Below are 16254 nucleotides of genomic sequence, written 5' to 3'. Positions count from 1 at the left end.
TCTTTCTTTATTGTGTATCATTCCGAACAGCATTTAAAAAAAAAAAAAAAAACACGTGATGCCAACTAACTGGATATGGAATCTGGATACTGCTAACAGGATCTGAAAATAGAATATTCCTAATCACACACTGCCCTCCTTGGAAAATTCTATATTATAAACTAACTGTCATATCAATTGAAACTCAAGGGATCTGAATTAAATAACAAGGGAGATAAGTCGTCTAAAGGAGTAAAGACATCAATAATTTGATTCCTTAATGTTTTTCCGAAATCACACAGTGGTTTCACCTCCTTAAGGATCTAGTTCCTAGAGAAGCACCTTTTTTTTTTTTTTTTTTTTTTTTGTTAGCTTCTAGAGGGCAACAGATCACAGAGCATCCAAACCATCAGAGTGCTTTTAAGATTTGGGTGAGAAGGTTTTGCTTCTTTCAGACTTAGTGAAAATACTTTCATTGTCATTTTTTTCATTTCTAGAAGGTAAAAGTCATGCTTGAATAAAGTTTTTTCTTTTCTCTTTTTTTTTTTTTTTTTTTTTTTTGAGACTGAGTCTCACTCTGTCACCCAGGCTGGAGTGCAGTGGCATGATCTCGGCTCACTGCAACCTCTGCCTCCCAGGTTCAAGCAATTCTCCTGCCTCAGCCTCCCAAGTAGCTGGGACTACAGGTGCATGCCACCACGTCTGGCTAATTTTTGTATTTTTAGTAGAGGTGGGGTTTCACCACGTTGGCCAGGCTGGTCGTGAACTCCCAACCTCGTGGTCCACGCGCCTCAGTCTCCCAAAGTGCTGGGATAACAGGCGTGAGCCACCGCGCCTGTCCCGAGTTTTTAAAAAATTGATAAAAATACTAATATAATTAGCAATCCGTTCAGAATAGGTTGATGCAAACATAAAAACGCATGCATAAGTACTATGTATCTCTCAGTTGTTGACAAATAAATAAAAATTATATGGAAGTATGCATTGTACCACATTGTCTGACTTTTAAACATCTGTTTTCAGCAAGTAATTTGGAAGACTCTCACTGCCAGGCACACACCATGATTAGCTTGAACATCCCAGGAACTAGACCATCCCACAGGGCACTTTCAACTGGGGCAGAGAAGTCAGTAATGTATTCTAGACTGACTGCCATTAAAAGTGAGAAAAATAAAAATACTTCTTTTTAAAAATTTTTATTTAGTGCAGGATTGTCACATAGGTAAAATTTGTGTCATGGGGGTTTGTTGTACAGATTATTTCATCACCCAGGTATTAAGCCTAGTACCGATTAGTTATTTTTGCTGATCCTCTCCCTCCTCCCACCCTCCACCCTCCAACAGGCCCCAGCGTGTGTCATTGTCCTCTATGTGTCCGTGTGTTCTCATCTCTCATCCCACTTATAAGGGAGAATATGTGGTACTTGGTTTTCTATTCCTGTGTTTGCTGAGGATAATGGCCTCCAGCTCCATCCATGTCCTTGCAAAGGACATGCTTTTTTTTTTTTTTTTTTTTTTTTTTGAGATGGAGTTTCGCTCTTGTTGCCCAGGCTGGAGTGCAGTGGTGTGATCTCATCTCACTGCAACCTCTGCCTCCCGGGTTCAAGCGATTCTCCTGTCTCAGCCTGCCAAATAGCTGGGATTACAGGTGCACACCAGCATGCCCGGTTAATTTTTGTATTTCTTAGTAGAGATGGGGTTTCTCCATGTTGGTCAGGCTGGTCTTGAACTCCTGACCTCAGGTGGTCTGCCCACCTCGGCCTTGCAAAGTTCAGGGATTACAGGCATGAGCCACCACACCTGGCAGATCTCATTCTTTTTTATGGCTGCATAGTTCTTTGATTCAAGGGTATAAGCTGTAGGGAAACAAACTTTTTTGGTATTTCTTATTACTGTACCAGCTGCAGAACTATTATTCTATTTCATAGGACTAGATGGAGGAATCAAAGATTGGTTAACATTAAAATGAGCAGAAAATACAACTTAAGACAAATTTTAACCATACTCACTTTCAGAACGGTGTCTTTATCAAACTATGAATAATATATGCAGGTAACTTACTAAAAACAGTATTTCCTTTACTGAGAAAAAAATATAGTTTATAAATGCTCCTGGAAAATGTCAGCTTGCGAGTGAGAGTGAAATCAAGGAAGTGAAAATAAAACCAGCACCTCCTTTACTAGTTGGGCCAGCATGCACCCAGTCTAGGTTTCCATGGCCTGTGACCTACAGGTGGACGGCAAGGGCTCAGGATCAGGCTTCCTTGCCTTAAGTCCCCAGAACCCATGTGGTGCTTCGTGAACCCCAGCATTAGATCTGTGCTTGGGGACACGACTGAGTCCCCACCAGTGGACACACTTGCCTCCCTTTGCCAAAGCACACCGGGTCTGGCTTGTGGCTTCTCCCTTGCAGCAATGATGGATGGGCCTAATTCTCACCTTGTCTTCAGAATTAAGAAGTGTATATTCTTCCTACACACTTAATCACCTCTGTGAATCTTCTGAGGTGGCCTCCACTCCCACTACTGGTTTAGAACACAGATATCTCAACATTAATTTTGTAATAAGAACAGATGCATTTTTGATGGATAGTATCTAAAATTTGAAGATTTTCCCGTATAGAATATATCTTTTAAAAATGTGATTGGAGGTATCACACTACCTGACTTCAAACTATACTACAAGACTACAGTAACCAAAACAGCATGGTACTGGTCCAAAACAGAGATATAGACCAATGGAACAGAACAGAGCCCTCAGAAATAATACACACATCTACAACCATCTGATCTTTGACAAACCTGACAAAAACAAGAAATGGGGAAAGGATTCCCTATTTAATAAATGGTGCTGGGAAAACTGGCTAGCTATACGTAGAAAGCTGAAACAGGATCCCTTCCTTACACCTTATACAAAAATTAATGCAAGATGGATTAAAGACTTAAATGTTGACCTAAAACCATAAAAACCCTAGAAGAAAACCTAGGCAATACCATTCAGGCTATAGGCCTGGGCAAGGACTTCATGACTAAAACACCAAAAGTGATGGCAACAAAAGCCAAAATTGACAAATGGATGCTAATTAAACTAAAGAGCTTCTGCACAGCAAAAGAAACTACCATCAGAGTGAACAGGCAACCTACAGAATGGGAGAAAATTTTTATAATCTACCCATCTGACAAAGGGCTAATATCCAGAATCTACAAAGAACTCAAACAAATTTACAAGAAAAAATCAAACAACCCCATCAAAAAGTGGGCAAAGGATATGAACAGACACTTCTCAAAAGAAGACATTTATGCAGCCAACAGACACATGAAAAAATGCTCATCATCACTGGCCATCAGAGAAATGCAAATCAAAACCAAAATGAGATATCATCTCACACCAGTTAGAATGACGATCATTAAAAAGTCAGGAAACAACAGGTGTTGAAGGGGATGTGGAGAAATAGGAACACTCTTACACTGTTGGTGGGACTGTAAACTAGTTCAACCATTGTGGAAGACAGTGTGGCGATTCCTCAAGGATCTAGAACTAGAAATTCCATTTGCCCCAGCCATCCCATTACTGGGTATATACCCAAAGGATTATAAAACATGCTGCTATAAAGACACATGCACATGTATGTTTATTGCGGCACTATTCACAATAGCAAAGACTTGGAACCAACCCAAATGTCCATCAGTGATAGACTGGATTAAGAAAATGTGGCACATATACACCATGGAATACTATGCAGCCATAAAAAAGGATGAGTTCATGTCCTTTGTAGGGACATGGATGAAGCTGGAAATCATCAGTTTGAGCAAACTATCACAAGGACAGAAAACCAAACACCGCATGTTCTCACTCATAGGTGGGAACTGAACAATGAGAACACTTGGACACAGGGCGGGGAACATCAAACAACAGAGCCTGTCATGGGGTGGGGGGAGAGGGGAGGATAGCATTAGGAGATATACCTAATGTAAATGACAAGTTAATGGGTGCAGCACACCAACATGGCACATGTATACACATGTAACAAACCTGCACGTTGTGCACATGTACCCTAGAACTTCAAGTTTAATAATAAAAAAATGTGACTTGCTGAACACATCATGCTGTAATTTTTCTCTCTCCAATTACACCTTAGGTTATTTATCAGCAATTGACTTGGGAATATTTTGACTTATAGAAAACAAGGAGATTGATAAATGTGATTTGGATATTTGGAAGGGAATAGATTCGTGTGTGCTGATTAGGTCAACTATTACTTGGGGGGATTGGAACTACAGAGAAAGACAAGATCAGTGGAGGGGAGAGAAGAGGAGAGAAGGGAGAGGGAATGTGTGTGTGCTTGATTTAGGGCCTCCTGACATTTTTCCTGACCCCAGTGGTCTATGGCATGAAGAAAGTCAACCCCATCCTTCGTTATCACAATAAGTGATTCCCTACTTATTTACACTAAGGTCTTTTTTTTTCTTTTGTCAAGAGGTTACGGAAACTAAAGGAAATTCTGAATACTATGCTTACTAGAGGGGCATGGGTACACCCACACCTGCACCCAGATTTATTCAGGAATATGGGAATGCAAGTCCTTGCCACAAAGGAGGTACTAAATGAGAAGACCACTTTCTTATTGTTATGAACTGCAAGTTTGTGTCCCCCACCAAAGTTCATCTTTGAAGCCCTAACTCCCAGTGTGGCTGTATTTGGAGATGGAGCCTCTAAGAATGAAATGAAGGTTAAATGAGGTCATAAGAGTAAGGTCCTGATCTGATAGTATGAGTGTCCTTGGAGTCCTTCTAAGACAAGACACCAGAGAGCTCCCTACCACCATGGCATGCACTGGGGAAAGACTGAGCAGATGGTGACATCAGTCGTCTTTTAACAAATGCGTGTTCAACACATCAGTGAATGAATAAGCAAAAATCTGCACAGAAATCACTGTTTTATGGCAATAGCAGGAAACAAGTGAATGGTACATCAAGCCTGGAGCCCCAGTTGAGTCCTCAAGTGAAAATACAAAGATCAGAAGAACTTCATGTCAAAGAACAAGAGGAGTTAATGAGTAAGGCATAACAAAGTGTAACTGAGGTTAATCAAAAATATATGCATAAGAGCTTCCATTTGAAAAATTTCCCTTTTATTTTTTGAGTACAGCACACTTTTCTCTATTTAATTTCTGAAACATGTTGGGAAAATTACAACATAAGCAGTTACACCAGCACTAAGCATTACTTTGAAATACAACTACATTAAAACATAAGGTATTAACTAAACATATATTTGCATACTAAATGACACAAAGCAAACACATAATTTAAAAGCAACTTTAACAACAATAAAGCAATGACAATGGTGGCACTCTCTGATGATTTGTTTGGTAGGAATGTTCCAAAAGGTGCATACAAAAATAATTTAAAAAGATAGGTGTCCTGCGTTAACACATGCTGAGGTTAACTTTAGGAATTAGTTTTTAAAATATTAATGTTATTATTATTATTATTTGCTAACTTTTGTCAAATAACAAGATTCCCTCTTTCTTCTGATCTTGTGTCTTATTCTGGCGAGTCACACAGTATCAGATGCTATTTCCTCTGCTTCAGTGAAAGCATCCTTCCACCTATATTTTATGAAATCAGGTGCCTCCCTAGGTTTTAGCTGCTGTTAGATTGCAGGAAGTTATTTATTTCTCAGTATGTGACAGTTTGAGGCAGAGGTGAGGTTGTTTTTCACACTGACCCTAGTGCCAGGCAAAACAGAGCATTGGCCCTGGTGCTGCCAGTGGGCCTTGGACACTCTGTGACGGGAAGAAGGCTTCACCTACTTGTAGCACAGGAAGGGCATCTAGACAGGTGACAATTCAGTGTTCTAGCACATCCGAATGGCAACTCTTCCCTGACCAAGATGCTTTATTGCTTAGAAAATATGCACTCACACTGACACACAAAGGCACACACCCACCATAGACACACATATCACACTCATGCGATTCTTTCATAAGCCCTGTAAATATTCGATAATAAATACCTACAAGGAACAATCTAAGGCCGGGCGTGGTGGCTCACACCTGTAATCCCAGCACTTTGGGAGGCTGAGGCGGGTGGATCATGAGGTCAAGAGATCGAGACCATCCTGGCTAACACGGTGAAACCCTGTCTCTACTGAAAATACAAAAAATTAGCTAGGTGTGGTGGCGATCGCCTGTAATCCCAGCTACTTGGGAGGCTGAGGCAGGAGAACGGCGTGAACCCGGGAGGTGGAGCTTGCAGTGAGCCAAGATCGTGCCACTGCACTCCAGCCTGGGCAACAGAGCGAGACTCTGTCTCAAAAAAAAAAAAAAAAAAAAATCTAAAACAGGCATGCATTTTGCAAAGCCATGCACTATTTGAGGCCCTGTAACTTAATTTTAGAGACAAAGAGCTCTAGGTGAAAATCATTTACACTTTTCAAGAGTCAGCTTTCATGATAAAAATTAAATAGGTCTCCATAAGGATGGAAGCTTTTCTGTGAAGGCTTTTCATTTGGACCTCCTGATGTTTTCACTACAGTTCAACTCAACAAACAGGAATGGAATGTCTGACGTGCACCAGGCACCATACTGAGCCATGTGCCTTCTGCTCTGCATGGGTTCAGTTATGACACACGTACCCAAGGAGAACATGAAGGGTGATGAGCGCAGTCATTCTGTCCAGGCTGAGAAGGCCATCACCTTCTTCAAATTGTTTTCCTCCCACAACTCTGGACCATTTAAAACCGTAACAGCAATTCTTGGCCTCAGAGGCTAAATGACATTTTGTGCCCCCAAAATCAGTCTTCCTCTCATTACTCACCAATGCTAATTCTCTTCTAGGATTTAGAACACAGGTATCTCAACATTAATTTTGTAATAAGAACAGATGCATTTTGGATGGATAGTATCATATGCTAAAATTTGAAGGTTTTCCCATATAGAATCTATCTTTTAAAAATATTACTTGCTGAACACATCGTGCTGTAATTTTCCTCTTTCCAATTACACCTCAGGTTGTTTATCAGCAATCAACTTGGGAATATTTTCTAGGCAGGGATTAAATATTTTTTAAAAAGATGAAATAAATACTTTTAACAAAAACTATTCTGAGGGACAACTGAAGTGAAATGAATGAATGGTCTCAGAAACTTGGCTTTGTCATGGTAACTATTGCAGAGCCCATGATAAAATACAACTGGAACATAATAAAAGATGAAAGATAATTTAAGAGAAAGAAGTACTCACTTCTGTGCATTAATCCCATCAATTGCTTGAATCATCCTTTCATTCAATTCTTCTTCAAATCTCTTCTTTTGTGACTTGGTTCTATATGAAAAATGGAATATTATGGGTAAGGATATTATTAGTAAAATAAATATTAAGCCAATTTTTTAGAGATACATAATATTTTACATCCTTATGAGATACAGATGACATTTTGTTGCATGCATGTGCAATGATCAATCGGGGTATTTAGGGAATCCATTATCTTAAGTATTTATCATTTCTATGTGTTGGAAACATTTCAAATTCTCTCTTCTGACTACTTTGAATTACACAGTACATTGTTGCTAACTACAGTCACCCTATTCTGCTATCAAACATTAGAAGTTATTCTGTTTATCCAACTAAAGTTTGGGCCCACTGACCAACCTCTCTTTACCCACCCATCTCCCATCCAGATAGTCTCTGGTATCTATCATTCTACTCTCTACCTCCATGAGATAAACTTCTTTGGCTCCCACATATGAGTGAGAACATGCCAAATTTGTCTTTCTGTGTCAGTAAGCCTATTTTTCTATGATGTCAAAAGCTCTGTTTAATTCTGCTAATCAAGTAGAAAAAGAAACAACAGCCTATGAGCAGGCTCTTCTCTATTAACATCCAGCCACTCTTTGGATTGAGTGAATAACTAAAGTTTTTGGGATAGTAAAGATGTGTCCTTATTCACTCACTGTGAAATTTACTAGGCATTTACAAGGCAACACTGAAAGATATATACTCGGTGTTTGAGATAAAGTAACTTTCTCTCCTAGGAGATGTATTAGCTTTTGACTTGTTGCCTTCATAAACTTTATTTTATGAAAGAATACATTGGTTCTGGAAATTCCCCTGTAAAAATGTGGCTTGGTTGACAAAATAGTCATTCCTTTTTCGTGTTTTCCTTGGTCAACTCTCAAAAATTTGCAGAGCTACAGTCTTATTTCAGGTATACCAAAGCTTAATTGTATGTATTTAAATGCTCCTCAGTTTTCAAAGCACTATTCACAGAAAACTCCACTTTTATTTGCAAACCATCTCACTTAGTTTCAGAAGCAAATAACCTTTAGCCATAATATAAGATACTTGCTGAATAAATTGTGCCAAATAGTAAGAGCTCTCCAAGGTTAATTTGACAATTTGCATGAGAATGATGTCAGGAGAAAACCAAAATAGTACCTATTCTTAGAAGTTAAATATCCACTGCAAAGATTAAAAGCACGGCCTGCTAGCCTGAACAAGGCTATGCCTATATCATGGTTTAGGCATGAATTCTGTGTGTTATGGTTGATTAGATTACAAATGAATAGACCATCTAATCTGGAATAAAAATCACACTTTCCTGAGTTCAGAATTGCCTCTACATATAGATAAGAATAGCATTAAATATGCAAAGTCTCATTTATCTGTAATTAAATCTCACAGAATTATCATTAATGAGATGGATGAGTTTTCCAATTCCATCATCCTGTTTGTGGATTTGTGCCTTCGGGCCCTGTCTTCTTCAAACAGGCTGAGAGCAGTTTTGGTTAAAAAAATAAAATGAATCATATTAAGTGATCCTCCCACAGATATTGAGCCAAATGAATTAAGAGGTTTTAGCATACCAAATTCCAAGTTGTTTGAAGCAGGCAAATTAATTTTTATTTTCCTTAAAAAAAAAAAAAAGCAAGGAATCCTTTACCAAGCAACTAGTGTGGCTTGCACATTCTCATTTATAGCTGAGACCTGTAGGACCTTAGACCCTTCATTTAACGTTTATCAGTCCCACATCTAGACTTGAGCTTCTTGACTTCAATTTGATGGCTTTCTCTTCTGCAAAGTCTAAGAAGGAGCAGTGTAAGAATGTTGAGGCTTACAGGAAAATGTAATTCTTCGATATTTTGTCCAGTGCTAACAATGATATTGCCTTTGTTAACCTGTTTTAGGATTTGATTAGATGATGCCTGTAGAGAGCTCAATGCTGTAAATGTGACATGCAAAGTAGCCAATAAATGCATGCTTTCTGCATGATTTGAATTCACTAATTATCCGGACAATAATTCTTGACATACAGACACTTTTCTTGTCTCTGCAGTCTTGTGACCTCTGCCATGGAGAGGATAAGGTCCCCTGGGGCTGATGATCTCCCCACCAGGAGTCTTCATTTGCCTCCAGGACTCTCTCCCTCTGACTTCCAGCATCTCTCATCTTCCCATCCTGGTGCCTTCCCCTGGGCTCCACCATTGGCCTTCCCACTGCTCTAGGACCCCAACCCCTGTGTCCAACACATCTCCATTCTGTCTCCCTGGCTCCTTCCCCAGGCCCATGCCAACACCTTGCTTGAGCTGATAGGTCTAAGCAGGCATGGGGAGGGACATGTGACAGGAGTGTGTGGGCCAGGCTGGAGGCTCAGACAGGTATTATGAGGCAGTCCACTTTACAAAGCCTGGAAGTGCCTGGGCATCCTGGGTAAGTCTGACTCAGAACTGGGGTTCTCTCCAGGAGGCCTTGAGGCCACCAAAGATCAATGACTACAGAGACAAATGGAATAAATATGGAAGAGGCCTTTACTAAAGCAGGCAAGCCTGAAGAGCAGTTAGGAACTTGTGCTCTGCGGTCACAGAGCCTGGGCACAAATGCTGGCTTCATCTCCACCAGCCATGTGACGCTGGCATTCTCCTATCCCTTTGTGCCTCAGCTTCTTCCCTTCCAAAATGATAATGGCAACAGATTCTGCCTTGCAGTAACGCTGCAGAGACCAAATTAGAGTTTCTATAGCCTAGTGCAAATAAAAACAACAGCTTCTTATCATTGTCTTCCAGACTGCACTCATCCCGGCTTACGCTGCCCCACGTAATACTGGGGTTCCATGACACATTACCCATCGTAACTTCTATAAATAGACTCTTAAAGCAGGATTGCTGGAAGGAAGAGACAGATAACAGAAGAGACTATGAATATAAAGTGAAAGGAAGTCTGTGACATTTCTGTGGTCAGTTGCTCATAGATGTGTCAGCATCTTATTGGCCAGAGGCACCGTGCTGTCTCCAGGTGTCTTATGGGCTCTCTAATATGCCTCAAATTAGCTTAAGTTCTCTTTATTACAGTATATGCCACTTAATTATAATGCTTCAAAAGCTCAAGAACCAAATTATCCTCATAACATAAAGACTATGAATGTTATATCTCAATGTTAAAATGTCAAATTTTGCATGAAGTCCAAATTAGAGCTCATCCCAACGGTCACTTAGAAGGATCCTGGGCTAATGTGCCCTGTTGCCTTGTTTCAGCAGGTTACAACCTATGTTTCATTTTTACTTGGGTACAATTCCTTTTCTATAGAAAATAGGTCAGATCTCATATTTTTCCTTAGTTTCTATAAAACTATCAATAGCTCCAATAAATTGACCTCTCTGGGGAGAAAGAAAGCCTGGCTTAGGGTTTGGAACTACATCTTACACTGGTTATCTGAATGTCCTAATATTGATTTGATTAACTCCCAAACCAATATTAAAGTAAAACTCTGTGCCCGAAAGATAGAGGAACAGGGGAAAAAAGGAGTTGGTGCCTGGGATTTTACGGTGGCTGCGACAGGGCGTGTGGAGACATTTGTGGGAAACTTTTCTCTTTTTTTGAGCAGAGTGGATAACCCTTTATTTCACTATAGACAGACTGGATTTATCCTGCTTTTACCTTTAGAATTCAACAGAAAAGTGTAACTTTTTTCTTTTTATTTTTTTTTTTTCTGAGACACAGTTTCACTCTGTCGACCAGGCTAGAGTGTAGTGGCACGATCTCGGCTCACTGTAACCTCTGCCTCCCGCGTTGAAGTGATTCTCATGCCTCAGCCTCCCGAGTAGCTGGGATTACAGGCATATGCCACAACACCCAGCTAATTTTTTTTGTATTTTTAGTAGAGACGTGGTTTTGTTATGTTGGCCAGGCTGGTCTCAAACTCCTGATCTCAAGTGATCCACCCGCCTCAGCCTCCCAAAGTGCTGGGATTACAGGCAGAAAAATGTAATTGTAAGCAACATACCCATTTTAAGACAATTCACTTTTTTTTTTACCACACATTAATATTAAGAAGAGTCTCTTTAGGAAAACAGTTTAACATTCTAAAATGAGTACCAGGTGGTGTTTTCTTTCTCCCTCTCTCAATTCTAACAATAAGACCCCAATGATTCTATTTTTAGAAGCTGAAAGCAATTTAATAGGGCTTTTCAGGGGGAGCTGCTCTTTCAGAAGTAGCCCTTGAAATTACCATAATTGATGATAATTACTCTCAGAAATGAATAAAGAGCAATAAGCTTTAAAAAATCAGATAGAGAGATACCATACCTTAAGGTGCGATTTTGAAAATTATGCTGACCCATGGGTACATCCTATATTGAGAAAAAAGGTTATTAATTGTCAAAACATGTTTCAAGAAGAATGTTGCAATGATAATTAGGTGAAACATATTTCCTCTTTTATCATGGACAGTAACATTTAACTAACAAATAATTAATTACTCATGTGGAGAAAAAGAGCTTAATCCTAAGTGTGAATCAAGTTGTAAACTCAGTTTATCTTTGGAATGTTGCTGTAATCTCTAAACTCTGGATGCTAGAAGCATGAGGATTGTTGTCTGGAGTTTTAAGATTTATAGCCTGTATTATCAGATCTGATTTCAAACAGTGGCCTGCCGGCGACTGATATCAGAGTTACCATCAGTAACCTATGACCATGTGAAAATGGACTTTGGTATCAGACAAATATTAGAAAATGCTGTAGAAAGAACAAAAATATAACCACAAAATCTGTAGTCATCCCCATCACTGAACTGGGGCGTTAAGAAACAGTACCATTGGTTAAGTATGTGAAATCACAAACCATTGGACAAAATGAAGAAATCGGCAAAGGAGCGCTGGTAGTTCCCAAGAGAAATGGAAGAGAGACAGAATTTATAAGTGGAAAAGCCACTGTCAAATATTCAATAATAGGCTTTCAAGGAAAGATTGCCTTTACACATTTATAGTGGGAATGAAAATAAAAGTTGGAACAAAACTGCTCCAAAGAAACTTTGGTTTGCTGCTTTCATTTCCAAGGTTATATTAAGATATGGATTTAGCCTACGGAAAGGAAAGATTTTTTTGAAAAAGTGATTGAGCTCCAAGTTTCATTCCATACAGTAAAGTACTGTATTATTCAAGAGCTCTATCAATGTTGAATCAAGAGTGAATGGAGTTCTGTATAGGGGATTAGATAAAGGAATCACTTTCAGCAATGTCAGTTGTTTGACCCTGGGATTTATGAGTGAAAACTCCAGTGAGGTCTTTCTGAAAGTGAGTGAGACACACAGTTAAGTCAAAGTGGTTTGGGCTTAATGCATCACCAAAAACTTGGGGCTTTCTTAAAGTATGCTATACTGCTACTAAGGCAATCCAAGCCTGGCTTTGAATCTGCAACAGGTGGGACCAGACGGTTAAGAAAATAGAGTTCGTTCAAGAGGTCCTTTGATTTTTATAAACAAATTTCTGAAGTTGAGGCACTCAACAGTTCTGGCCATATCTTGAAGAAGGCATCTTCATCAACACATAGCATCAGATTAAAGTCAGACTGAAACCATTCCTGGATCCTACGCTCAGATAATAAAAGAGACAGTCACTCTTAAGTCTTAAGACAATAAAGGCTGATAAGAAATAAACAACAACAACAATATACCTGGAAAAGTAAGCCTTTTCCCCACAGGAACACATGAAAAACAGCACAGGAAATCACATTCGACTATTTATATATGATTCTTATTCCTTAAAAACCAACCAACCAACCAATTGCTGATGTACAATAAATCCCAATGGGAAATGGAGTTATCAGACACAGCACTAACTAGCAAGACTGAGGCTAACTTATCCAAATTACTGTTTTTCATGAGTGACAGAAACATAGGCTTTCACTGGTTGGATACTGGAGTCCTAGGATGCTGTTTCTCTAACAGATCTAAATGCTGGAAGGCCCCAGCTGCCCCAGGCCTCCCACCTTGGATTGTTCTCTTCTTGATGATTTTATCTAGTCTCATGGCTTCAAATGTCATCTACAACCTGATCACGTTCACATTCATGCCTCCATCTTGGACCTGTCCCGTGAGTTCTAGACTTGCAGATCCAACCGTCTACATCCTCACTGCACTTAACTATAGGTTAGAAGCGGTCCAGCAGAAAAGTCTTAATTTTCCATCTTAAATAATCTGGTTTCCCCCTTGTATTTGTCATCTCAATTAATGGCATCATCATTGTTCCAGCTGTGGGGCCAAAAAGTTTGGATTCATCTCTGTTCCTAATGTTCATGCATATCCAATCCATCACCAAGTCTTATTGGCTCTACTTTCACGTTAGCCCCTGAATTTGCTTCTCGTTGCTTCCACTGCTAAACTCTTAGAATAAGGGGGTATCATTCTCACCGGGGACCCCTGCAGTCTTGCTCCATTATTCCAAAGCCTAAATTATATCATGACCCTCCCTTGCTAAGATTCTCCATGACTTCCAATTGCACACAGAATGCAATATAAAATTTACCGTGGTGCATCTCACCCCATGACCTCCCTTTGCTCATTGTTCATGATGCTCCAGCCACAGCAGCTTCCTCTCTGTCTCCAGGGGACACCACACTCACTTTCATCTTTGCGCCACTGACTTTGTTCTTCTGCCACCTCCTCTTCCTATTCACTCATTTCTCCCTCTGAGACTCCCTCAGCTGACCTACTACAGTGGCCATCCCATTCACTCCAGATGCCATCACTAAATTTTATCTTCCTCATGGCCCTCATCAGCACCTCACATGATCTTGTTCATTTATTTATTTTTCTATCTATGGTCCCTCCTTTGCTATTAAAATGCAAGTGCTAGGACTTGTGCAATCTTACGGATTGTCTGATGGGTCATGGTCTTCCGTCTGATAGTCACATTTACTTTTTAGTTGAAAAAAGATGAAGAGAAGTTGGGAGAAGAAATATAAATAAGCCAAAACATAAATGCTGAGCCCCTGCCTGTTGGGAGTGGGAGTGTCACTTTGAGACCTTGGGACAGGTGGGGGCCCAGGGCGACTGAAAAACTCCACTTTCACCTGACAACTGGCATGTTCCTTCTCATCAGACAATAAGAATTATGTAATACTGTATTTTTAAAAAGCTGTAACTGCATCCTTAGCACATTTAATAGCATTATACATGAAATTTTACCCCCAGATAGTTTTAAAATCTAAAAATACTATGGGGATTATCCTAAGTGCTTGGTTGTATTTACTTTTCTCTCCTCCTATGGGCCTTTCTATTTTCCTTCTCCATTGCAGCCATCTTATCGCAGATGTCCCTGGTGTAAGGAGCTTTCTCATATGCTGGAGGTCACAGGGAAACATGGAACCATAACAAGATAGTATCCACTGCTGCCCACACAGCCTGGACATTTGGGCAATGAAGAAATGGGCTTGATGATACTACTTAAACTCCAAGGGCATCATGCCTTTGTCTTTTTATTAAGAACCTCAAGGCTTTCTACTTCATGATAGAAGTTTTTCTTAAAAAACCCCTCAATTAATAAATAGTTGTATTTAATTGCTACTATCAGTTGTAAATAGCACTGTCTTGGGTTATGAAGCTATAATGCAAAATCACGCTAGGGTGGAACCCTTAGCAATGTCAGCATGGAGCTCACTCATACCCTGATGGTTGTTCATAAGGGCCTCTCTGAGAAGAAGAAGGTGATAAGTTTGTTTCTTACAGAAAGGAGTTATTTTGGCAGGAGATGCCCAGCCTTTGGTTTTGGGAAGTTAGCTTTCCCCCAGTGCTCAGGCATTGGAGGCAGGGGAGGGCATACCGTGGTGCTGATCTTGCCGTTCTCTGTGGTCATGCTGTCCCTGTGATGTAGGTGTGCAAAGGGCTTGGCTGCCCCCCAGGACTCCAAGTACCGGGTCATGCGGACCGAGGCCCTCATTTTGGCTCCATCAAGGGTGTGGCGAGGTCTGAAGAGATGCTGGGGGCTCCGTCGTTCTCCCTTGGGGTGAGAAACAAAGCATCACACCTGGCACAGCACAGGGCCACACATGATCCTTTTGGCATCGACCTCATTGGACTAGGGTCATTCCTCCTGACAGCCCTCTATTCGCCCTCTGTGTTTTCTGTCCTTATTCCTTCAGTGTTACTGGGGAACACACTATTTGAGTTGAGGGAATCTTTTTTCAGCTAGCAAAACATACATGTAATTGAGACTTAGAAAAAAATAATGATATGTTAATGGACATTTTTTATTAAGTAAATTCTTAAAACAGAATGTGCTGATCTGTTTAGCTTTTTCTTGATGGTTGTGTTTTTCTAAAGTGATAACTGTAGTGCTGTTTCTAATGCTACATAGCCCCAAACATCGTGTTTTGGTGTTCTTTACCTGAACGTAATGTTCTTTGTACATGTATTTTTTGAGCCTTCCCCCGTCCATCATCTCCCAGTCCCTGCTGCTTGCCACACATCTATCTCCAGATCGATCATCAAGCTAGTTGAAAGTTTGTCTTCAAAGGTGAAACTGGGGCTTCCCAGATGCTACCATAAGTAAATGTCCATAAAGTTGATCTTGTTGATTTTATGATATTGGTTTTCATGGTTCAGAGGTCTTTCTTGCTGATATTTGCACCATTTACCAGCTGTGTAATTTGGGAAGAATTACATAACCCCTGAAAGCTTCAGATTCTTAATCTGTAAATAGTGATAATACCCATTTGGCAGGAATTTGAGAAGGGTTAAAAGAAATGAGAACTCTAAGCCCCTTGATCTGGCCTAAATGTGGTGTGAATGAAATAAGAGATAGTTTCTCACTGTTTGTATGGGGTGGATCATCTCAGGCAGTAGATGTTCTTATGTTACGGAAGGTAAATATGCTTGTGCATACAGACAATCTCGCAAGCATGTCTATGTAATATTTATGTGTTAATCTTTCAAATATTTCTTCTCTTCTTTTTTTGTATATGTTCATCCTATTTTACTTAATTGGATTTTTATCTTCTAAAG

The 16254-nt window shown here is 39.9% G+C and overlaps 1 protein-coding gene across 5 annotated transcripts in view; it reads right to left on the bottom strand.

Moving 5' to 3' along the window:
* ADCY2 (adenylate cyclase 2) overlaps nt 1–16254 on the bottom strand; it is a 433944-nt gene that overhangs the window by 105621 nt on the left and 312069 nt on the right. For all 5 annotated transcript variants that reach the window (NM_020546.3, XM_011513942.3, XM_047416645.1 and 2 more), the window contains exons 10-12: nt 15074–15250; nt 11562–11605; nt 7224–7304 (exon numbers count right to left, since the gene is read on the bottom strand). In NM_020546.3, coding sequence (NP_065433.2) covers nt 7224–7304; nt 11562–11605; nt 15074–15250 — 302 coding nt within the window. The remainder of the gene's footprint in view (nt 1–7223; nt 7305–11561; nt 11606–15073; nt 15251–16254) is intronic.

Source organism: Homo sapiens, chromosome 5 (assembly GCF_000001405.40).
Source record: "Homo sapiens chromosome 5, GRCh38.p14 Primary Assembly".
Taxonomy (NCBI): domain Eukaryota; kingdom Metazoa; phylum Chordata; class Mammalia; order Primates; family Hominidae; genus Homo; species Homo sapiens.
The sequence above is the reverse complement of the archived record's forward strand: the minus strand, read 5'-3'. Positions and strand labels throughout refer to the sequence as shown.